This window comes from Homo sapiens, chromosome 17, assembly GCF_000001405.40.
Source record: "Homo sapiens chromosome 17, GRCh38.p14 Primary Assembly".
In the NCBI taxonomy this organism is placed as follows: Eukaryota; Metazoa; Chordata; class Mammalia; order Primates; family Hominidae; genus Homo; species Homo sapiens.
Window position 1 is genome coordinate 78,071,457 of NC_000017.11, and position 24,920 is coordinate 78,096,376.

The 24,920-nt window shown below is 44.3% G+C and overlaps 1 protein-coding gene across 21 annotated transcripts in view; it reads left to right on the forward strand.

Moving 5' to 3' along the window:
* The window catches only part of TNRC6C (trinucleotide repeat containing adaptor 6C), a 151,279-nt gene that overhangs the window by 113,900 nt on the left and 12,459 nt on the right, over positions 1–24,920 (forward strand). For 9 of the 21 annotated variants that reach the window (NM_001395512.1, NM_001142640.2, NM_001395510.1 and 6 more), the window contains 10 exons: positions 1,581–1,638; positions 3,680–3,822; positions 5,729–5,878; positions 7,939–8,085; positions 11,591–11,710; positions 15,047–15,130; positions 15,397–15,637; positions 19,984–20,151; positions 21,477–21,668; positions 22,164–22,307. In NM_001395512.1, coding sequence (NP_001382441.1) covers positions 1,581–1,638; positions 3,680–3,822; positions 5,729–5,878; positions 7,939–8,085; positions 11,591–11,710; positions 15,047–15,130; positions 15,397–15,637; positions 19,984–20,151; positions 21,477–21,668; positions 22,164–22,307 — 1,447 coding nt within the window. Of the gene's footprint in view, positions 1–1,580; positions 1,639–3,679; positions 3,823–5,704; positions 5,879–7,938; positions 8,086–11,590; positions 11,711–15,046; positions 15,131–15,396; positions 15,638–19,983; positions 20,152–21,476; positions 21,669–22,163; positions 22,308–24,920 lie in introns of all 21 variants that reach the window. The other 12 variants (XM_047436487.1, XM_006721997.5, XM_047436490.1 and 9 more) reach the window with 3 other exon arrangements.

Below are 24,920 nucleotides of genomic sequence, written 5' to 3' on the forward strand. Positions count from 1 at the left end.
ACCTAGGCTGCAGTGCAGTGGTGTGATCAAGCAGTCCTCCTGTCTCGGCCTCCCGAGTAGAGCTGGGACTACAGGCGTGAGCCACCATGCTCGGCTAATTTTTGTATTTTTGGTAGAGACGAGGCTTCACTGTGTTGGCCAGGCTGGTCTCGAACACCTGGGCTCAAGCGATCTGCCCGCCTCGGCCTCCCAAAGTGCTGGGATTACAGGCATGAGTCACTACGCCCAGCCGGAAAATGCTGTGTGATTTTTAATTTTCATTGGTTTATACAGTTTTATGTTTACTTTTAATTTATAATTAAACGTGAATTTCATTAGTGTATAGAGTATATTGACAGAGATCACAAAAGAAAACTTGATGTAAAGTACTAAGGTTTCATATCCAGAAAAAGTATCCTAACCAGACCTACTTAGTTCCTAAGTTTCCAGTCATACGTAGGGAGAATTCATAATTGTAGGGCGTTCCCCTGAAAATACCACAGTCTGTTCAATTCCTGAGATTGGATGGCAGTTCAGATGGCAAGGGATGTCGCCCATATTCGCCATGTATTCGCTTCATGGGACTTCTTTCAAAATCCTTATTCAAATTAGTGTTTATCTTTCAGTTACCGTAGATGCTTCTAAAAGAATGAGTCCAGAATGGCCTCCATGTAGCGGAGGAACCCCATCCTTCACACTGGGCACAGGCCCTCTGTATTGGGCAGGGCATTGTGTTGGTGGCCCAGGCTCTGCCTGTGTGAGTGGGCAAGAGGTTGACGGTGGCTTCAGCGTGTCCTGATTTATACTGTCTCAGTTATCATGGCACCCTAGCGGCTTCAGTCATCCCCTGAGATTACTGTGTTCCAGTCATAAATTATCAAAATGAATCTACTTGTTTTGTTTTTCTGTTTCTTAGAGAAAAGTTGTTGATGGTGGAGCCTAGAGTTGATGAAGCGAAAAATGCAGCTCTGCACTCCGACAGTGACTGACATAGTTGCTGGGACTAGAGAGAGACATGGAGATGGGCCTCACTGGGACAGGAATCCTGTCCTAGGAGAGCATCCTGTCCTCATGGCAGGTGTCCTTGTCTGTGGCCCTGCTGTCTTGGCATAGATTGCACCTTTATGGAATCATTGCTACTCAGTGTTGTACAGAATGATTTTAGGACCAGACACAGTGGCTCACACCTGTAATCCCAACACTTTGGGAGCCCAAGGCAGGAGAACCACTTGAGCCCAGGAGTTTGAGACCAGCCAGGGCAACATGGAGAGAACATATCTCTACAAAAATAATACTAATAGTTACATTTTAAAAAAATGAAAATGATTTTAGGAGTACTTACAAGGTTTTACTGCCACTCTGCATTTTGTTTCCAAAGTGTTAAATACAAGGGCTTTACTTTGAAAATCAAGTCAGTACATTTTCTTATTACAAGTATTTTTAATTCAAAAGACATTGTCTCTAACCTCAACAGTGAAGAAATGTATTTCCAGTTCCAAAACCTAATAACTATGTCTTTAAGTTGATAGTGATTAAATTGTTTGTAACCTTTCCTTTTGTTAATTAATGTGCACTAATGAAAACTCTGTTTTCCTACACAGAGAGAGCCAGCTGAGGAGGCCTTGAAGAGTAACAATATGAATCTTGATCAGGCCATGAGTAAGTCATACAACATCCTTTTTAAAAAGGTACCCAGCTGTGAAGTTTTACTTTCCAGAAGCATTTGATTGTAGTCATGGTTTAATGGTTAATATGTCCTGGGTAGACAGGACCAGGCCACAGTGAAGGGGCAACCACACAACAAGCTGGAACCACAGAGGGAGCCTCTTGGGATTAGCGGACTTTGGAGGTGAATCGCCAATGCCATATTTGAAGCATGTTGGCTTTTCTCATATTTTCCCGTTATGTTTTGAGGGAAGGTAATAATGACACTCTGAGAGACACTGGAACCACACACTAGACTTCAGTGGACACTGAGTGCGTTCCTCGTGCCTTGCCCCAGAACGGACTTGCCTAGGGGCCACCAGAAGCGTTGCCTTGCTGGCTGAGCACCAACTGTTGTTGAGAGAGAAGATTTTCTGTCAAGGAACAAGCAACCCTAGTTCTAGAGCTGCTTTAATAATAATGTTAAATATTTACATTTAAATATAGTCGATTCTTATTTTCTTGGTAGTTATGTTCTATAAAGTCACCACAAACACTGAATTAACGAATACCGAACCAGTGCTCCTAGGAGACATACAGGGTTGGGTTCCTATGAGCCTCTGCTCACAACATTTTTGTCAACCAATCAATATATAACCTTGTTTTATATGTTTTTCTGTTTCAAGACACCTTATTTAATATTGATATATTAGCCAAGAAGGGTGTAACATTTTTCTGACCCTGGATAATGTGACCATAAATTTATTTGGCTTTCATACTCAAAACAATGCCGTCCACCACACTTCCTAGTCATCATCTCATGAATCCACAAATTTAGCCTCTTTTCCATAGCTCTGTCACATGCCCAGATGTTACTTGAGTACTTTCTGAGCAGCCGCACATACAGGTCAGTGAATTTTTTAGGATGTACCATATCATTGATTCATGATCATTGAACTCAGGGCCAACAGTGCTTTAACTCGTGCCTACATGAAGCTTACTTGACACATATTTCCTCTGTAAGGCGCTTTACTGCCTTCTTGAGCTTAGAAACATGAGACAGCACCTCAGCACCACACAGGGGGACCATTTTAAACACCAGAATCACTACAGAAAGCACAGAAATACGAAAAGCCTGGCAATAAATGGACCACAAAAAGGACACTTCTTTACAACCTGATATCTGAGGCTCAACCTGAACTGGGAACTTGGGCAACTCACATTTTTTTGCCAATCTGCACATGTCCACAAATAACCACAAACAGTGCCCCAATTACTGATTTGGGGGTTACAAATTTTAGCAAGTAGGCCAGCTTTACAAGTACAGAATTCATGAATAATGAGGATAGACTGCAGACTGTCTAATCGTGCACGTGCGACAACGTGTGGTGCAAACTGCCAGGGCGGGACAGAGCAGCGTGTGCTGCAAGAGGTGAATTCTAACTGTGGAGTAGGACAGAGTTAGGGTGGGCCAAACACACACTAGTCATTAAGCCAACAGAGCCGTGAGAACAGAAACAGTGTCTGTTTTGCACAGTATTGTATCCCCCACATCTGGAAGAATACTTGCAGATACAGGACTCGGTGAATGGAGAGGCATGGCCATGAAGTAGGAGAGGATCTTTTGCAGACAGAATAATCGGGAAGGCCCCTGCAAGAAAGCAACCACTGAGCCCACCCGAAATGAGGAAGCAAGTCTTGCAGAAAACTAGGGGAGGGGGTGCATCCCAGGGGAGAGGACAAGCTGAGCCCCTGAGGGCCAGCAGTGGCTGGTGTGGCTGCTGCGGAGAGGATAGAGGGCGGCAGGGCCAGATCACAGACTGCAGGAGCCACGGAAGGGTGCCTGGGGCCAACCCCCATCCCCTTGCCGTGAATCCTTGGCAGCCCCTTGTTGGGCTCAGCCCTAGCAAAGCAAGGGCTCTCTCTGCCCCTGGCTTCCCTGTGTTTGAAGGGGTGGAGGGTCTCCATCCCTCCTTGAGGCCTTAGCTGGTGCCTATCTTGTGCTCAGCACTCACTTGTTTTGTTTACAACATTGCTTCTGTTTGTTGTGCTCCAGGCGCTCTGCTGGAAAAGAAGGTGGACGTGGACAAGCGTGGGCTGGGAGTGACCGACCATAATGGAATGGCCGCCAAGCCCCTCGGCTGCCGCCCGCCAATCTCCAAAGAGTCTTCCGTGGACCGCCCCACCTTTCTTGACAAGGTATGAATATAGGTGGTTTGTTGTTTTTGCTTTTTTAACAAGAGGAGTTTTTCATTTCAACTGTGTCCTTAATACAAGCCAGATTAAAAACTTGCTGGACTATAATACTTAAGTGACTTTTATCCATTTTTTTCTAACATTATGAACATTTAACTCAAAGAAGGGAATGTCGTATTTCATAAGATGTTACTGAGAATGAAAAAGACTGGGATTGAAAACTGATTTTCATATTTATTGTGTGAACTTGGCTGGTTATCTGCTTCAATTTGTCCAATGGGCAAGGGTCATCAAATTTCCATTTTACTATCTCATTTTAAAAACACAGATCTTCCCTTTGGAAATTACGTGTTAGATGTTTATCCTCAGGAAAAGGGATTGGAAGTGGTGGGGCTTGGGCACCCATCTCTGGCTGGCCCTTGTCAGTTGGCCACATGAGTGACCACAGCTGGCATCTGTGGAAAACGCCCTGAATGTTTAGCCAGTCCGGTCACAGCTCAGCCCCCAGTGTTGTCATGTAATGATGTCCCCATGCCAGACTGGTGTGACTGCAAAGCGGAGAAAAGCATTGCACTAAATTCAATGCAAATGTCGAGCCTTGAAAATAAAATTGAAGTAAGGAAGGACACATTAAAAAAAAAAGATCAACAATGGAAGGAGGCTGGGTGCGGTGGCTCACTCCTGTAATCCCAGCACTTTGGGAGGCTGAGGTGGGTGGATCACCTGAGGTCAGGAGATCGAGACCAGCCTGGCCAACATGGTGAAACCCCGTCTCTACTAAAAATACAAGAATTAGCGAGCATGGTGGCACACGCCTGTGAACCCAGCTACTCGGGAGGCTGAGGCAGGAGAATTGCTTGAACCCGGGAGGCGGAGGTTGCAGTAAGCTGAGATCGTGCCATTGCACTCCAGCCTGGACGAGAGAGCGATACTCTGTCTCAAAAAAAAAAAGAAAAAGAAAAAAAAAAAAGGAAAGGCTCACAAGCAAAGAATATCAGAGATGGGACTTGATCTTATTTTGAGAGTCCTCCAGCACGTGATCTGCCTCAGCTGCAGCTGTGGGGTAGCCCAGGGTGAGGCTCACGTCTTCATCCTGCCCCTCGCCAGTGGGGACTGAGTTCAAACTCAGGATGCCCAGTGAAATTGGAATTACAGATAAATAATTTTTGAAATCATACTGTTTAAACTGATAAAATTACTGTTATCTGAAATTCCAATGTGAAATCATACTGTTTAAACTGATAAAATTACTGTTATCTGAAATTCCAATGTAACTCAGCATCGCATATGTTTATTTGCTAATCTGGCAACCCTAAATTGGGACCCTGACATTTAAAATATGGAATAATGCACAGGCTGGTTGTGATGTTAGATGACATAAATTTGCAAAAGACCTGGCACACAGCATGACCTCAGTAGATGTTAAAAAAAAATTAATAAGGTTCTGTCTTTTATTAGTTCTATAACTCACCCTCTTCTTAGATTACACCCTATGAAACTGCTGTGTTTGTAGGTCAAAAACAAATGTCATGGAATTCAACCTAATGTACACCTAGAGCTTTGGTAATAACTTCTCAAAAAGAATCTGTTTATTTGAAAATGGTTGTAAAGTGCTTGTTGCCATCCTTCCTCCGTGCTCCTACCTGAGGCAGGGCCAATAGTTAGGAGAATAGTAGCAGCTAATATATGTGTTTGTAAAATACTTTTAAACTGAAAACAGCATCTTAATCCTATTTCTTTTTCTTTTTCCCCTCTTCCTTTTGCACATGTTCTCCATTCCCTTATCCACACTTTTTTGATCTGTTAATTATTTATCCATCCACGCCTCCTCTGTTTCCTTGGGAAACTGTTTGGTGCTTTGTCTGCTGATGGACACTGCACACAGCTCACCCTTTCTTTCTCCAATCAGGATGGCGGCCTCGTGGAAGAGCCCACGCCTTCACCGTTCTTGCCTTCCCCAAGCCTGAAGCTCCCCCTTTCACACAGTGCACTCCCCAGTCAGGCCCTGGGTGGGATTGCCTCCGGGCTGGGCATGCAAAACTTGAATTCTTCTAGACAGGTAAGGCTGTTTGGAGAGAGCAAAACATGGCCTTTGTTTTACCTGCCTTCTAAAAAATGTGTTTGAGACATAAACTTACTTATTTATAGTTAATACCTCTATTTTTAAATGTGACTGAAAAAGTAGTTGAAATACTACCAGGATTTCCCTTCAGGTGACTTACTGGAGTCAAGAGTTGAAGTAGGAAATGCTTTAGTTATATTTATTCTTACACTTAACTAAAACGTGTTTGAGCTCTCAGCACCCTTGGTGCTAACTTGGGACTGGCTAAAGTGATGATGTGTTGCACAGTGGTCTTCGGCTGCCGGATGCATCCAGAGGTCCAGGTAGTGCCCACCCTCTTTCCTCATGGCAACCAAAACGACGTTACATCTGTTGATCTGCGAGAAAGCACCACATTCTCCCCCTTTTTCCCAGAAATAAAGATGACATCTCTTGCAAGGTGGTTCTCAGGAGTCACACTGGCATTTTTTTCCAGGCTTCAAAAGTCTGTGGGTACAGGTGGAAATCATCTTTCTAAATCAGTTAACTACAGGAAGGACCTGAGAGTGTTGTTTGCCACTTCATCTCACTTTTCTCATATAGACTCTTAACATGAAATGTTGTACCAAAAAACATATCATCCTTTCCCATCCCTAGGACATCCCTTCTCTCTGACTTTCTTAGGGATGAGGTTGACACACACACACACACCGCTTGGAGACATGTCTCTAAGTAGACACTGTGAGGTGTGGGTGGCCAAACAGCCTCTGTGTGCACATTGTCCCAGTGTTGTTACCAATAGTGCCCCTTCCACTCACCAGCGCCCGACTGTGTGATCCTGGCGATCTGACATTGCCCCCTTGGTGGTGGTGCAGTTTTCCATTGTTCTGCCAGCTTCAAGTCAGCAGCCCAGCTAGGGTGTGCACTGGGGTTAGGTTCACAGCTGTTAGCTTTGCAGAAGGGGTTCTCTCCCAGTGCCTCTCAGGCGGCTGTTCCCAAGTGAAGCTGTGCAATACCTTACCTCACCTATTTGTCAGGTAACTCATTACACAGAGTGAAAACTACAGCTACAATATCTTTATCATAGTTAACACAAAATTAACTACCTGAATTTGTCAGTTCATTCCATTTCAAGGTTTGTTGAAATAATAACTATATTTCCTGTTTGAAATGTTGCTATCCTCTCAGATTAGTAATCACCACACATTATTACCCTTTAATTTTTATCACATCCTTTTGGAAATGTATATTTTTCAAATAACCATATTCATGTTGCTGTTGTGTGTGAAACATTGTATGCTGGTAGTTTCTTTGAATGGGGTAGCCTTCTTGTTGTATAAACGACACTCATTAAAAATTCACTTGGGGCCGAACGAGGTGGCTCACGCCTGTAATCCTAGCACTTTGGGAGGCTGAGGTGAGTGGATCCCCTGAGGTCAGGAGTTTGAGACCAGCCAGGACAACATGGCAAAACCCCGTCTCTACTAAAAACACAAAAATTCGGGGTGGCTCACACCTGTAATCCCACCACTTTGGGAGGCCGAGGCAGGTGGATCACAAGGTCAGGAGTTCAAGACCAGCTTGGCCAACATGGTGAAACCCCGTCTCTACTAAAAATACAAAAAATTTAGCCGGGTATGGTGGCAGGCGACGGTAATCCCAGCTCCTCGGGAGACTGAGACAGAGAATTGCTTGAACCCAGGGGTAGAGGTTGCAGTGAGCTGAGATCGCACTACTGCATTCCAGCCTGGGTGACAGAGCAAAACTCCATCTAAAAAAAAAAAAAGCCAGGCATAGTGGCGGGGGTCTGTAATCCCAGCTACTCGGGAGGCTGAGGCAGGAGAATCACTTGGACCCAGGAGGCAGAGGCTACAGTGAGCCAAGACCGCGCTACTGCACTCCAGTCTGGGTGACAGAACAAGACTCTGTCTCAAAAAAATTCTCTTGGGTACAAGTTGACAGTGGTAGGAAGTAGAAACAATTTTGCATTCACTTGAAATAGATCATTTCACCCTACCTCCAAACAATGTTACTCTAATGCCTGCCTTGGTAACGTGTTTAATTCTGTCCCTGTGCAGATACCGAGTGGCAATCTGGGTATGTTTGGCAATAGTGGAGCAGCACAAGCCAGGACCATGCAGCAGCCGCCACAGCCACCAGTGCAGCCTCTTAACTCTTCCCAGCCCAGTCTCCGTGCTCAAGTGCCTCAGTTTCTATCCCCTCAGGTCAGACCCACATCCAAGCAGGACTGAGCAACAGGATATAGATGCCAGTGTTTCGTGGGGTCCTGTGTTATCTGGAAGTCACTATTTTAAAGTGAGAGCGGAGTTAATCCATGTTTAAGAGAAGGCCTTCTGGTTTTTAACCTATAAATTAATTTTAGACTATAAAGTAGTAAATGGATTCTCCTGACCCAGGAGACATTTTCAGAGCTTGCTCCTTGGAATGCCTCAGCCACCGAAACTAGCATTTGGCATCTTCCTGGTCAGAAGCAATATTGAGGGGGAAGGACCTGCCCAACACACTCCCATTGATGTGCTTTTGTCCCAGTCTTTGTCGAGAAAATTATTCAGGTGAACCCAGTGAACTGTCCTAGATTGGTGGGAGAGGAAAGTGACACGCTGTAGTATTGCTGAGGATGTAAAAGAAACCCTTAGAAGCAGCCAAGGACTGAATCATGCTTTAATGAGAAACTAAATGTGATCTCATATAATAGTGTATATATTATAGATTTTCAGTTATGTTTAATATTCAGAATTAGATCATTTTTGCCAATAGAGTTGGGTTTTTTTTCTTTCTTTCATCCCTTTTCAGGAGTGAACCATAGAGATTGTTAAGAAAAAAATGTTGCCGGGCGCGGCGGCTCACGCCTGTAATCCCAGCACTTTGGGAGGCCGAGGTGGGTGGATCACCTGAGGTCAGGAGTTCGAGACCAGCCTGGCCAATATGGCGAAACCCCATCTCTACTAAAAATACAAAATTAGCCAGGTGTGGTGGCGCATGCCTGTGATCCCAGCTACTTGGGAGGCTGAGGCAGGAGAATCGCTTGACCCGGGGAGGTGGAGATTGCGGTGAGCCAAGATCACACCATTGCACTCCAGCCTGGGCAACAAGAGCGGAAACTCCTTCTGAAAAAAAGAAAGAAAGGAAAAAAGGTCAAATCGAATTAAGGAAAAGGATATTGCTGTTTGGCATGGCTCTGAGGCCTAATATATATCAATTGTTCTTGTTAATATTGTTTATTTTTAGCACATTTTACAATTTTAGGCTTTGGACCAAGTTTTTAATTACAGTGTTAGTTCTTACCCCTTATAATATATTTGATAATCAATGGTATTGATAACATCTTTGCTGCGTGGGGTAACTCAGGGCTCTAGTTGATACGTAATTCTGGTGTGAAGGTTGACTGGAGCCCTGCCCTGAGAGAGCAGCAGCATCTTGAAGTACTTACAACATTCTAGCATTCTAGCAGAGAGGGAAAAAACTGCTTTCTTCCCCAAGAGACCTCTGATATCAAGAAGATAGTTAAAATTTCTGAGGGATCTTATGTTCAATCTGTTCCAAAAGAGAACGTGTTAATTCATCAATCTTCTATTATTCATAAAATTTAATTTAAATGTGTTTAGTTTGTTGGAATATGGTGTCTTAGTCCATTTGGGCTGCTGTAACAAAATACCTTAGACTGGGTCATTTACAACAGCATGAATGTATTGCTTGCAGTTCTGGAGGCTGAGAAGTCCAAGATCAAGGTGCCAGAAGATTCAGTGTCTGGTGAGGGCCCGTTTCTCATAGATGGCAACTTTTATGCATCCTCATGTGGTGGAAGGGGCAAACAGGCTTCCTCAGGCCTCTGTCATTAGGGTGCTGATCCAATTCATGGGGGCTCCTGATCACCTCCCAAAGGCCTCCGCTCTTAACACCACCACAATTAGGGTTTGGGTTTCAACATAGGAATTCTCGGGGGACGCAGACATTCAGACCATAGCATATGGGAAGGCAATGCTAGCATACGAAAAAGAGCAGGATGCACTGGGCACTGCATTGAGGGTAATTCTCGCTCTGTAATTGTTCAAACCCAGGTTTGTGCACTGAGTTGATAGTGCACAATTATCAATATAACTAATACATGTAACTATTATCAGGCAATAATAAAAGTTATTAGATAATAGTTAAATGTATTCATTAGGATATAGGATAAGCCACCATAACAAAGAGGCCTCAAAAAACAGTAGCTTAAACTAGGTAGACATTGATCTCTCTCAGGTTACAGTGCAGAAAGAAGCAGTGCAGGGATCGGGGGTGACTCTGCCATAGCCACTTCCCAGGAACAGGGGAAAAGGCAGCACTACTGTGCCGGTGGCCTTGAAATTGTACACACCACTTCCAGTCACATCCCACTGCCCAGACCTAGGCCACAGCTGCACCCAGTCTGAGAGGCAGTAGCAGAAGAAGCAGTTAGTCTTCCCCACACAAAGCAAACCAGCATGTCCCAAATGGCAAGGCATCTGTGTGCCGTCTCACTGTTTCTTCTGTATCTCCCTGTTACCTGTGAGTACTGATAGGAAGGACACAGAACCTTGGAAAGTTCATTTATAATTAAAATATTTGGAGGATGAGATCTCTGAAGACTTTCCTTCTTCCTTCCCTCCTTTCTTTTTCCTTTCTTTCTTATTCTTTACGTGCTAACTACTAATGTTAAAATGTCCATACATTTTTTAATGGCCTTTGACATTTCACCCATGAGACAAATATAATTATTATTGCAGGATCTGGCCAGCAGCCTGCGGTGCAACAGGGCTCTTTCTTTGTTCCCAGGCAGATTGGCAGGTCGAGAAATAAAAGACACACACGAGATAGTGAAAGCTGGGTCCGGGGGGTCACCGCCTTCTGATCCTGTGATGCCACCAATGCACTGGATATACCGGCATTTATTACTAAGTTTAGTGAGGGCAGGGGTAGGTTAGTGAGGGATTTAGGGTCGTTTGATTATGAGGTGAGATGATCACATGGGGATGAAGTAATTCTTTAACATAACATCGGTATGCAGAAGTACAGTATACAGGGATAAGAATTTACAATATAGTGTGTGCATCAGCAGTTTCTAACAGAGCCTTAAAACAGAAACACAGTCTGTCCATAACCTGTGTTTAGTAAGATACTAATCAGTAGTAATAATTGCAGCAAAAGCTGGTTGCAAACAATCAATAGAAACAGGACATGAAACTAGATAACTGTTTAGACCACAAATTCTCAGAAGGGAGTATGCCTTAACCCTAAAGAGACCTAGAAGAGCTGTGGCAAGATAAGGGCGTTTGTAACCCTATCTTATCCATATGAACAGGCGCCCCTCATGCATCCATTTATAGGCTCTCCCCAAGGGTCGCATTCCATTCCCAGAGCTATGAACATCTGCTTTTCTGGGATAGGAATCTTGGTGATGTGAAACCTCCCTGACTGCACATCCATTTATAGGCTCTCTGCAGGGGGAAGCACATCACGCGCTGTTGGCTCATTCTGGCAGCCCAACCTTGCATTGTCTTTACACAGTCCTGCATGCAATTTTGTATTTACAATAATCAGGAGCATTTCATCTTTTATTCCATAGCAGTAGTTTCAGGGGGTCTCCCTACAAATTATCATTTAATCATTTTTGAATTTTGAAAAACTACAGGTACAAGTAACTATTTTAACAGAGATACAACGGCTAATAGTATATTTTATGTTAAACAGGTTCAAGCACAGCTTTTGCAGTTTGCAGCAAAAAACATTGGTCTCAACCCTGCACTATTAACCTCGCCAATTAATCCTCAACATATGACGATGTTGAACCAGCTCTATCAGCTGCAGCTGGTGAGTGGATAGACCCATGCAAGTTAGAGCACGCAGGCCGAGTGCAGATGCACGGCACCTGCTGAGAGCAGCAGTTGTGATAATGTTTGTCTTCACGTCAGGGATGTCATTGAGACTCTCATGAAGTATTTAAACTCTTCATGAGTTAGGGAGTTCTCACTCAAAGGTGTCCTACTAGGTTTTGTAAATGTTTTGGCCTCTTTGTTTTTGTTTTTGTTTAGAGGCAGCATCTTACTATGTTGCCAGGCTGGTCTGGAACTCCTGGACTCAAGGGATCCTCCCACCTCAGCCACCTGAGTAGCTGAGACACCACGGGTGTGCACCACTGCACATGGCTTGGCCTCTTTGTGTTCAGAAAATCTACCAATCTACCAGATTTTATAATTAGGCATGTCTTTTCAGTTGAGCTCTCAGCCAGAGTTTCTGAGAACCACAGAACACAAAAAATCATTTGAGTGACTATTTTCTCAGTTATTCTAAGGATGGTATACATAAATACTATTCTAGAAGCACAGGAGAAAAATTGCTTTATTACATATAGTAGATGCCTTAGAGCATTAGAACTTAATTCTCTCATGAAACCCCGGTCAAGAATGGCTGATGTGACCTAATAATTCTTGAAAGTTTTGTAGCTTCACATAATCTTGATTTTTTTTTAATTTTCAATCAGTCTTACTGATTTTACTATAATTGCCATGTCATTGTATACCTAGATGCTTACTGAAATTATATACACTAAAAGACCCAGTTAATTATTTCATTCTTTAATGTGGGTATCTGATTTATTTAGCAATCTTAGCCAGCAACTTCATCACCTAGAAAATGACCAGGAATCGGCCGGGCACGGTGGCTCATGCCTATAATCCCAGCATTTTGGGAGGCCCAGGCGGGTGGATCACCTGAGGTCAGGAGTTCGAGATTAGTCTGGCCAACATGGTGAAACCCCGTCTCTACTAAAAATACAAAAATTAGCCGGGCATGATGGCGCATGTCTGTAATCCCAGCTATTCGGGAGGCTGAGGCAGGAGAATCGCTTGAACCTGGAAGGCGGAGGTTGCAGTGAGCCTCGCACCTTTGCACTCCAGCCTGGGCGACAGAGCAAGACTCCGTCTCAAGAAAAAAAAAAAAGAAAATCATGACCAGGAATCATGAAGGAGAAAAAAAAAAAAAAAAGAATGGGAACTCCAAAAGACAGAACCATTGGCATAAAACCTTTGCTAATGAGAGAGTACCTCAGCCCTCAGTCTTTCCCCTTTGCTGTTTTTTAGACACATGTCCAACAAGTTTGAGGTCTGCTTTTCTGTAAGCAGCAGGGGAGGATAGAAGGAAGGAGGGAAGGACGTGTCCCAGAGACACATGCTATGTGTCCTCGCTTTAATGGAAAGCACAGAGCTCTAGACATGAGGTCAGGACCAAGGCTTGGCCCTCAGAGACTGTTTTTTCTTTTTCTTTTTCTTTTTTTTTTTTTTTTGAGACGGCGTCTTGCTAGTCTTGCTCTGTTGCCCAGGCTGGAGTGCAGTGGCACGATCATGGCTCACTGCAGCCTCTGCCTTGTGGGTTCAAGCAATTCTCCTGTCTCAGCCTCCCGAGTAGCTGGGATTACAGGCGCCCGCCACCACGCCCAGCTAATTTTTGTATTTTTAGTAGAGACAGGGTTTCACCATGTTGGTCAGGCTGCTGGTCTCCAACTCCTTACCTCAGGTGATCCTCCCGCCTCAGACTCCCAAAGTGCTGGGATTACAGGCGTGAGCCACTGCGCCTGGCCAGAGACTGTTTTTCCATCTGTCAGAAGGGAGGTGGTGCTGTAGTGAGGAATCGCTGTGGGGAGGCAGTGCACATGTGCAGTCCTATTGCTTTCAGTCCTGCCCGCCGGAGACCACTGACCTCCAAAGGAAAGGAGACAGCTCTGAAAACAGGCACTCATAGAAAAAGCATGCAGGTTTAGAGCTGTTACTGTAGAGGAAGATCGCTTTCTGCCACTAGATGACGCTGCAGGCATTGCTGCAGCCCTGACACAGAGCTGATTATCTTACTGATGTGCTAGAATCTTTTAGTTATACAGTAAGTTTTTATTGACCTCTATAGTGTGAAAGACATCAAGAAAATGTTGAATTACCAATAGGGTGTTCTAATTTTAAAACAATGTATTCTGTTCTTAAATTTTTTTCCAGAAAAATTGGAAAAATAAAGTTTCAGTGCTTCCATAAGGTTAAGTTTTAGGCCTATAAGGATTCACTTAAGTGGGGTATTTTATTCCTCCATGATTACAGATGAAGGAGGCATTTCTAATAGTATAATCTCCACCTTTATTTGGATTCTACTTTGATGAGTCTTGCCAAAAATGTCCCTAAAATTCATGTTGTAAGAAAAAAAATCATGATATTCAACCAACATTTCAAAACAGTCAAATGACCAAAGCTTCTATGTCAGTGTACAGAAGAATATCATCATAACTTTAACCAACTTTGTAGATGACAAGTTTGTGTGACAAAAGTGCCCACAAATCTGCATTTCAGGTTCTCTCTTAGCTTTCATTCCCATGATGTTAGGGAGATAACCACGTTGTTTAACACACATTATTATTGAATGATTTGGGACAGTTACTACCAGTGTTTCACATTGTCTGGGCTGTCCTGGACTTCAGTCTCCATCATTATAGAATAGGTTGGTTTTTTGTTTTTTTTTTTTAAGTTTCAGTTTGTATGAATCAAGCAGAAGAATTTTGATTTCTTCATTAAATGAAAAATATTTGCTGACCAACATCATCACCAACACTAAACAGGTATTGACTCTGTGATTTTTTTTAGTTCTGCGCACTAAAAAAGTGGATAAGACATTAATCTTTTAAAAGTGCTCTGTGCCTCCAGAATATGTGTCAGCCATGGCTGGGCGCCGTGGCTCATGCCTGTAATCCCAGCACTTTGGGAGGCTGAGGCAGGCAGATCACGAAGTCAGTAGTTTGAGACCAGCCTGGCCAACATAATGAAACCCCGTCTCTACTAAAAATACAAAAATTAGCTGGGCGTGGTGGCACACGACTGCAATCCCAGCTACTCGGGAGGCTGAGGCAGGAGAATTGCTTGAACCCGGGAGGCAGAGGTGGCAGTGAGCTGAGATCACGCCATTACACTCCAGCCTGGATGACAGAGCGAGACTCCATCTAAAAAAAAAAAAAAAAAAAAAAAAAAAAAAAACAGTATGTGTCAGCCACAGTATGGGCCAAGAAGAGTGGCTAGGTTCTCTTTTTTTATTTTTTAACTAATGTCAGAAAGTTGAACCATTAGTTCAACTTACACTTAATTATCATACTATTTTAACTCTTCGTTCTGTCAACAGGCATACCAACGTTTACAAATCCAGCAGCAGATGTTACAGGCCCAGCGTAATGTGTCCGGATCCATGAGACAACAGGAGCAGCAAGTAGGTGCTACCCAGATTGATTTTTGTCATGAGCTATAATTTTCCCTGATAGAAGAGACGCTAATTGATGAACTATTAGATGATCATTGATTTTTCTCTAGCCAAGCCTTCCTTTGAAAATTCCTGGGTTCAGCTAGGTTTGGGAGGAGGTTGGCCTAGCCAGTAGTGGCCTCAGCATAAAGACAATGAAGAATGCATTTGGTCCCTAGACAAGCCATGAGTGTCCCTTCCCACCTAGTTAACGCACCTATGTCTCTGCCTGCCAGGTTGCGCGCACAATCACTAATCTGCAGCAGCAGATCCAGCAGCACCAGCGCCAGCTGGCCCAGGCCCTGCTCGTGAAGCAGCCACCACCGCCACCGCCCCCGCCGCACCTGTCTCTGCACCCCTCTGCAGGCAAATCGGCCATGGACAGCTTCCCCTCGCACCCACAGACTCCCGGCCTACCTGACCTGCAGACCAAAGAGCAGCAGTCTTCACCCAACACCTTTGCTCCTTACCCTCTCGGTGAGTGTCCCATGGTCTTCAACAGCCACATCAGGTAGAGAGGGTACCTGGAGTCCGTATGTGGTAGCCAGGGCAGCATTTCAGTGGTTAGGAGGACTGGCCAGCGCTGAAACCATAGCCTGTTGGAAATGCAGCCCCAGACAAAATCGGAGAGCAGGTATCTCAAGGCTTTTTAATTTTAAAAAAATTTTTTAATTATTTTTTTGAGAGATGGGGGTCTCACCATGTTGCTCAGGCTGGTCTTGAACTCCTGGGCTCAAGCAATCCTCCCACCTCAGCCTCTTAAAGTGCTGGGTTTATAGGTGTGAGCCACCATGCCCAGCCTCAAGGATTTGTAATAAGGGAACAACACTAACCACGTTGTATAGAGCAGGAGTTTTGCCGCTGCCAATAATACTCTCAGTATAAAACCTTTAAAGGTAGTACCAGTCAGAGCCCCCAAAATCTCATTTCCATTGTCAAATCTCCAAAGTTTGTTCTGTTCCTAGTCTACTCTGAACTGTACTTTACCAGCCACTGTCCTCCAGCCTAAACCACAGAGAAGACTTTATAATGGTTTGGTCAGTAAAAGTATTCAGATTTACATTAAAAGCACTTCTTAAAAAGCAGTGGTTGTTGATACAACTCATTTTGTATGAAATGTGATTTGTATAATCGACCAAATCAACATATATATGTTGAAATCTAACTTGTAGAAGCACACTCAGCACTTGAAACCCGCAGGTCAGTAGAAGACATGGTGCCAGGCCTCGAGGTCAGGCCAGTCAGGAGAGACACAGCTCACATACCTGAAGACACCAGAGGGTATAAATTAGTAAATTGATTCTGCATGGACTAATTTGCCGTAAGAATTCAGAAGTTAGTGAAAGCACTTTAGGCTTGTCTGTTGATTGCTATTAGAGTCTGTAGATACAGGACAAAGGGTTATCGGTAACTTGGAAAATACATCTGTAAAGGGGCAAAGGCCAGTTGAGTGGTAGTGAATTTGCTGCCAGCAGATAATATTCATTTATCTAATTCTATTCAATGTCTCTGAAAAGAGCGGTATATTGTAATCATATGAATCCTTTTTACTTGACATATTATAAATGTGGTATATCTTTAATATGAGATTGATAAATACTAGACTAGATGATCTCGTTCCTTAATTATTGTCTCATCCATTAGAGCCCTTTGTGTCGAAGTAGGTAAGACCTGACTTAGGAATTAGACTCCCTAGGTTTGAGTCCCAACTCACCACCAAGAGGCTCACTACTAACTTGGGCAACTTGCCTAGCTGCTGTTTGCTTCAATTTCTTTATTTTTCTTTCTTTTTTTTTTGGTAGAGACAGGGTCTTTCTATGTTGCCCAGGCAAGTCTCAAAACTCCTGGCCTCAAGTGATCCTCCCTAAGTGTTAGGATTACAGGCCTGAGACACCATACTGAGCCATGCCTTAATTTCTTCATCTGTAATGTGGAAATACTTAACTCCTAGGTTTGTTTTAAAGATTAAATGAGCTAATATGTAAAGTTCTCTTTTTTCTTTTTTTTTTCTCTCTCTTTTTTTTTTTGGCTGGAGTGCAGTGGCGTGATCATAGCTCATTGCAGCCTCAAACTCCTGGCCTTAAGTGATCCTGCTGGTCTCAGCTTCCCAAAGTGCTGTGATTACAGGCATGAGCCATCACACCTGGCCTAATATGTAAAGTTCTTAAATAGTGCCTAGCACATAGCAAACACTTTGTAAAATGTCAGCTACTTATGTAAGTGCTTCTGTTTTAGAAACAAATTTCATCCCACCTATTATCCTAAAATGCATTAGCTTCAGCTTTCTATTATTCACCTGTCTTCTTAACCTATATTTGGAGGATAAAGTACACTTATCGTTACTTTTTTTTTTTTTTTTTTTTTTTTTTGAGATAGAGTCTTGCTCTGTTGCCCAGGCTGGAGTGCGATGGCGCAGTCTCGGCTCACTGCAACCTCCACCTTCTGGATTCAAGCAATTCTCCTGCCTCAGCCTCCCAAATTGATGGGATTACAGGCATGCATCACCACGCCTGGCTAATTTTTGTATTTTTAGTAGAGACTGGGTTTCACCATGTTGGCCAGGCTGGTCTCAAACTCCTGACCTCAAGTGATCCGCTCACCTAAGCCTCCCAAAGTGTTGGGATTACAGGCGTGAGCCACCGTGCCCGACCACTTATCTTTACTCTTAAGGATTTTTTCTCTTAGTACAAGTTAAAGAATTCATGCAGTGAATCTTTGAAATTAGTTGAAAAATAATTTGGATAATATTTTATAATATTCACAGTAAAGTTATAAATGTATTAAAAGCAAATAACTAATAAAGTCTAGGAAACTTTGGTTGTAAAATTGCCTATCTTGTTGGCTCTCAGCATTTCTCTGCAGCAGCACCTATGTTGAAGAGCCTGTTAGACACTCATCAATTCATGTAAAGAAACCAGCAGCCCATGGTCAGTAGTGGGGGCTCCTAGCTACCTTCCTTCCCTCATGTTCAGCCTGTCGTTGTTATTCTCAGTCTTTTGCCACCTGGAGTTCGCCATCTAGATAGGAAGAGCAGGCATATAAATGGGAAAAAATAACCTTGATACCAGTGTCATGTGATTCTTACAGGGCTCTAGAGAAGGAAAAGTTCACTTTCACTTTGAGTGGTGAAAGAAAAATCAGAGAGTAGGATTAAGCTTGAACCTCAAATGATTGGATAGGATTACAGTAAATAAAGAGGAAGCCTTTCCAAATAAAGGGGAAGCCTCACGTAGCACAGAAGAAAGAGGCCTGGCTTGTTTCAGGGGCCCATTTTGCAAGGGCCAGGCCAGTCTAGCTGACTTTCCCAGAGGGGAAAGTTGGGAGAGATGGGTTGGCGCCAAATTGTGAAATTTGGAGCATTCTGAAGGCCAGGTTGAAGCCCTGACATTGTTGCCACCTTACCTGGCTAGATCTGTACAAGCTGAAACGAAAAGAACCCACACAGCAGAGATTGCAAGTAGGCAGCCCTGTGGCACTGATGGGCTTGCAAAGGCGTTTTGTTAGGTCTGCGAAGTGTGTGTGTGCATGTGCATAGGTGTGTGTTAATGCCAACATTCAAAAATTGGGGAAAGTGGCTTCTGGCTTCTCTTAAAAATGGCTATAGTGGGTCTATGTTCCAGGTAGCAATAGGTGGTTGGCCCCAGTAGCACCTGTTTATTTAGACAGGACAGACACTCTCTGGTTTGCCACAGTCCCCATGAAGCCCACTTCTTCATGTGCATGGCCCACCTGGCTCCTATGGGCATTTGAATTTGCAGCCTCTGAAATAAAGGTAAGAACCAGAATGTTCAGCACCTGGCTAAGTAGTAGAGGCTCACTGTGCTTACGTACCGTGTGGCGTAGTACTTACGGTAAGGACCTATGGGGTATGTGTATGTGGTAAGGGGAACTGCAGCTGGAAATACAAGGGGAGGGGGGCGCTTGTGCTGGTTATTCCCTTCCAAACAAGCAGTCTGTCCTGCTCCAAACTAGTGTCCTCATCAGAAACTCTTTACTTCAACCTTCTTTTCATTGTCCTCCTCATCATCTTTCTTTATTAACCTAGCTTAGTGCAGGTCCTGGACAAATAACCAGGTACCTGCTTTTAGCTATAAGGAATGAGCCCAGAAGCCTCAGCTCACCATCCCAGCTGGGGGCAGATGGCAGCACCCCCGCTGTCAAATAGTTCAGTTCCTTAAAAGTAGTTTGATACTTAATTCACAGACTCTTTCAGAGCAGACTTTTGTAAAGGAAACTCACTAAAGGTAGAACTGAATTATCCTATCAGTCTGTTTCATAGGTGGTACTTTAGAGTTCTGGAAAAGTGTTTTTGACCTGATGAGTTTCCGTAAGATATCCCAAAACAAAGAAAGATTTTCCTAATAGTTTGGACTTTTTCTATTTTCCTGTGGACTCTGAGAAGCCTCAGGACCATGTTTATTCAGCACTGAAACAAGTAAAATGAAGAGAATTGTGGGCCTTACTTAATCAAAGACTATTCACATTTTCACCTTAATTTAGGAATAATATTCCTAGAAATACATGTTGTTATGACGATAAGTAGTATTTTTTCACCAGCACTAAAAGTTATAGTTAAAATATTTTGCTGTATCCCAGCTACTTGGGAGGCTGAGGCAGGAGAATCGCTTGAACCTGGGAGGCGGAGGTTGCAATGAGCCAAGATTGTGCCATTGCACTCCAGCCTGGGCATCAAGAGCAAGACTCCGTCTCAAAAAAAAAAAAAAATTTGCTGTAAGCGAAGACTGAAATAGCTTCTATAGGAGAGCTTTAGAATGAAGTCATTTAGAGGAGCAGGCGAATCCTAACCGCATCTCTCTCTTTAGCTGGACTGAACCCAAACATGAATGTCAACAGCATGGACATGACCGGTGGCTTGTCGGTGAAGGACCCATCCCAGTCCCAGTCACGCCTCCCCCAGTGGACGCACCCCAACTCCATGGATAACTTGCCCAGTGCCGCTTCCCCCCTGGAGCAGAACCCTAGCAAGCATGGTACGTCTGAGCTAGGATGCCTGTGGTGGGATCACTGCTGGCTTATTAATCGATCGTCCTGTTGTATAGCATGGCCATTCTATACTTTTCTAAGAATTGAGCACTGAAAGTTGGATTTAAAATAACCCATTCCATTATAGTGCATATAAGATCTCAGCTAGTCACTGATCAAACTTCTTAAAACCCAACCATTAGATCTTAGCTACAAACTTAGAAATAATTTGAAAACCCCAGAGCAGCAAAGAATCTAGGTCATAGCCTGTGTACTTTTTTTATGTATCTATATTCATCAACAAAAACTTGAGTCTGCTGAAATGTTTTCAATAAAATGGTAAAACATAAATAGAAAATCAAATATACAGTATGTATGGGAACTGCAGCTGTAAATACTAGGGTGCATTTCTGTTGGTTATTCCCCTCCATCCAAGCAGTCTGTCTTACTCCAAACTGGTGTCCCCATCGGGAACTCTTTACTGATGGACACACGAGTAAGGTGGAAGCAAAAATGATAACCATAGGAGGTAATCTCACTCTCAAGCATTAAATTTAACTCTGAACTTCCTGGTAGAATAAACAGCAAAGGAAATTCAGTAGGTTACGTAGTTCTCTCTTGATAGGAAGCATTCTAAAAAGAAAAAGGAAACTATGTCTCATGGTTAACTTACGGAAAATCATCACACACTGCTGGCACCTTTCTTAGCAGGAGGGCTCTGCTGCCTGTAGCTGGTTGGTTTGGTTCTGTATGAATTTTTAACATCCACTGTGTTCTTCCGTAGTGAGGGTTTCAGACTAAAAGGAGGGAAGAGATAACAGCAAATTTGATAGCTAATCACAAAGACTCATAAGTTGTCCCCAAAAAGATTTATTAAGGGCAGCTTCCCATGGTATGGATATGTATTTTGTAAAGACTTCTTACTGGACAAACTGAAATTGTTCTTCAAGGGTTTCAATCTTTCAGGGCTGAAATTGTAGCTAACTGAAACAGTCACTGGCCAGGCATGGTGGCTCACACCTGTAGTTCCAGCTACTTGGGAGGCCAAGGTGGGAGGATCGCTTGAGCCCAGGAGGTTGAGCCCTGATCACATCACTACACTCCAGCCTGGGCCACAGAGTGAGAAGTTGTCTCAAAAAAATAAATAAATAAATAAATAAAGTCATTGATTCTTACAGAATCCTAGACAGACCAAGTCTTACAATTCATGTAACTGAATAGGGCAAGGCATTGGACCTAGAACAGAAGGTACATAGGGAGGCTTAGGGTATCTTCTGGTGTCTCTCAACTGGAGAGTATTCACTCGCTTCTTTGTTTCCTATTGTCCCCATAGGTGCTATCCCTGGAGGTCTAAGCATTGGGCCTCCAGGTAAGTCCTCCATTGATGACTCCTATGGCCGGTACGATTTAATCCAGAACAGTGAGTCACCAGCCAGTCCTCCCGTAGCTGTTCCCCATAGCTGGTCACGTGCCAAATCTGACAGTGATAAAATCTCAAATGGCTCTAGCATCAACTGGCCCCCAGGTAAGACCATGCAACACTTCTGTGCAACAGCAGCAGGTCAGAATGTGCTCCAAGCCTGCAGAGAGTGATTAGGCTGAGAGGACCCAGAATCTGAGCTAAGGATCTGGAAGCGTTAAGCCCAGAGCTTTGGCATTTTCCTTGGAAATCCATTTGTCAGATCAATTTTGGGTATGGTTAGCATCAGGCATTTTTCTGTAAACCCTTAGTTCAGCATGAGGAGTGGAAGGGGTGGCAGGGAGGAAGCACACTGCACACTATCCGGTAAAACTATTCCAACCCTGTGTGAAAACTAGCTTAATATGATAGCTGTGATACCTGGTTCTAGTTTGTTCCAAAGGATTGATTGCTTTAATGAAAGAGAGTATAAGGTGTACCTCTAATTTAATTAGCAGATTATAAAAATTTCTACAAACAGGACAAAACATCTTTTAAAATTTCGTGAATCAATGTGCCGGTGTTCTGATCTGTGGCTTCTCATTTTGGTTTCTTAAACAGAATTCCATCCGGGAGTTCCATGGAAAGGACTGCAGAATATTGACCCTGAGAATGACCCTGACGTCACTCCTGGCAGTGTCCCCACTGGGCCTACCATCAACACCACCATCCAGGATGTCAACCGCTACCTCCTCAAGAGTGGAGGTGAGGGTGCTGCTCTTCCTGCCTCTGCATGGACGGTCTCTCTAGACCCATTTGGAGATGTCAGGGGTGACAGGTTGGGCTGTGAGGCAGGGATGATACAAGGCACAGTTGGCGGGCACCTTTTCTAGTCACCTGAAGCAGCATGAAAAGACAGCAGGTAGTGCTTATGGAGAAATGGAAATCAATTTGAGTTTCTGCTGGATTTTTTATTATTATTACTTTTTTTTTTTTTTTGCGATGAAGTCTCACTCTGTCGCCCAGGATGGAGTGCAGTGGCATGATCTCAGCTCTCTGCAATCTCCACCTTCTGGGTTCAAGCGACTCTCCTGCCTCAGCCTCCCAAGTAGCTGGAATTACAGGCATGTGTGCCACCATACCAAGCTAATTTTTGTATTTTTAGTAGAGACAGGGTTTTGCCATGTTGGCCAGGCTGGTCTCGAACTCCTGACCTCAGGTGTCGCCCATGCTGCTGGATTTATTGATAAGTAATGTCTTATCATAGAAGTGCCATCTCTGATAAAGTTTTATCACAGCATGCTATTTTGTGGAAGGAAGAGCTAGATTGCCATAGGTACTATCACTAATAAGGCCACCTAGATAGTTCCCAAAACATTGAATTTCCCACTTGAAATATGACTCATTGGAGCCATGTGTTTTGTGTTTGCTTCTTTTGTTTCTTTTTTTTTTTTTTTTGAGACAGATTCTCGCTCTCTTGCCCAGGCTGGAGTATAGTGGCGTGATCTTGGCTCACTGCAACCTCCGCCTCGCAGGCTCAAGTGATTCTCATGCCTCAGCCTCCCGATTAGCTGGGACTACAGGCGTGCACCACCACACCCAGCTAATTTTTTCTATTTTTAGTAGAGATGGGGTTTCACCATGTTTGCCAGGCTGATCTCGAACTCCTGACCTCAAGTGATCCGCCTGCTTTGGCCTCCCAAAGTGCTGGGATTACAGGCGTGAGCCAGTGTGCCTGGCTGCTTCTGTGGTTCTTTAAAGTGATAGGCTTCTAAATGTGCCTGTGGTTTGGCTGGAAAGCCAACATAAGTACAGATTGCCCTTTCTGTTTAATGCTGTGTATTCCTTGGGGTTACACAGCTGCTTTTTGGATGCAGCTGCGTTTCGGAACAGGGATGTTACGGGTGTCCCTGCTGTCAGACACAGCCAAGTGGTGCAGGAAAAGGAGCCGTGTAAGATGGCAGAGGACAGGTGAGGCGCCAGCCAGAATCAGAGACCCAGCCCTCCCCGCTTGTCACACCTGGTGGGGCACCAGGGTTGTGCCAGACAGGAAAATTAGCATATTTTGAGGGATGTGGAGAAGTGGGATGCAGGTTGTACAGATCCAAGTCATAAGGGAAGTTGGAAAGAATCGAAGTTGCATGGCAGAGCTTCCCGAGTGGTGCCCAGATGAAGCATCAGGTAGCCCCTTAGCCTCCAGGCAGAACCAGGGCCACTGGGAGTGGCCTCAGCCATCGCCTGAGTGTGCCATGGTGTGAAGAAGATGGCCCGAGAAACACGTGACAGCTGTCCTCAAGCTCCACATGCAGCTGTCCTCCAGCTCCATAGCCTGCCCAGTTAAGGAGATCAACTTGCGGGGAGGGCAGAAGAGAACCTAAGCCTAGGAAATGCATTGGCCTTTGAGATAAGGCAAGGAAATGGCATCTCCAGCCCTGAGCCTAAGAACCAGCCAGCCAGCCAACCTGCCAACCGGGGTGACTTGTAGCTCCAAGTGAACATCGTTTGACTTCCCGGGTGCTCGACGTTTGGGTCTTGAGCCTGCCCTGGCACTTGTACACAGACATCAGTATTCAGCAGTAGCCAGTTCATGTGGCTCATGCCAGGCCTCCCCTTCAGCTCGTGACCAGCACGAGGAACCTTGTTGCTCCACTCTGGTACCTCTCTTGGTTGTGTTTAGGGATACATTAGGGTTTGTTATTGAAAGAAAGGGGAGTACAATGAACATCTCTTCACGTAGAAATTGCTAACCAGAAAGCACTAGCAGGCCGAGCACAGTGGCTTACACCTGTAATCCCAGCACTTTGGGTGGCCAACGTGGGAGAATCACTTGAGGCCAGGAATTTGAAACCAGCCTGGGCAATATAATGAGACCCTGGCTCTACAAAAAATTAAAAATGAAAAAATTAGCTGCGTGTGGTGGCACACGTCAGTGGTCCCAGCTACTCAGGAGGCTGAGACAGGAGAATCACTTGACCTTGGGAGGTCAAGGCTGCAGTGAGCTGTGATTGGGCCACTGCACTCCAGCCTGGGTGACAGAGCAAGACTTCGTCTCAAAAAAAGAAAAGGCCTCCCAAAGCGCTGGGATTACATGCGTGAGCCAGTGCGCACGGCCGAGCTGACACCCTTTTAAAGTAAAGACCTTCTTGAGGGAATTAACACAGGAACAGAGAACAGACAGCTCACACGTTCCCACTTACAAACGGGAGCCCAACACCGAGTTCACACAACACAAAGAAGGGAGCAGCAGACACCGGGGCCTGCTGTATGGTAGAGGGTGGGAGGAAGGAGAGGATTCAGAAACTGCCTGTGGGGTACTGTGCTCACTACCTAGGTGATGGAATGATCTCTACACCACACCCCCACGACGCACAGTTCACC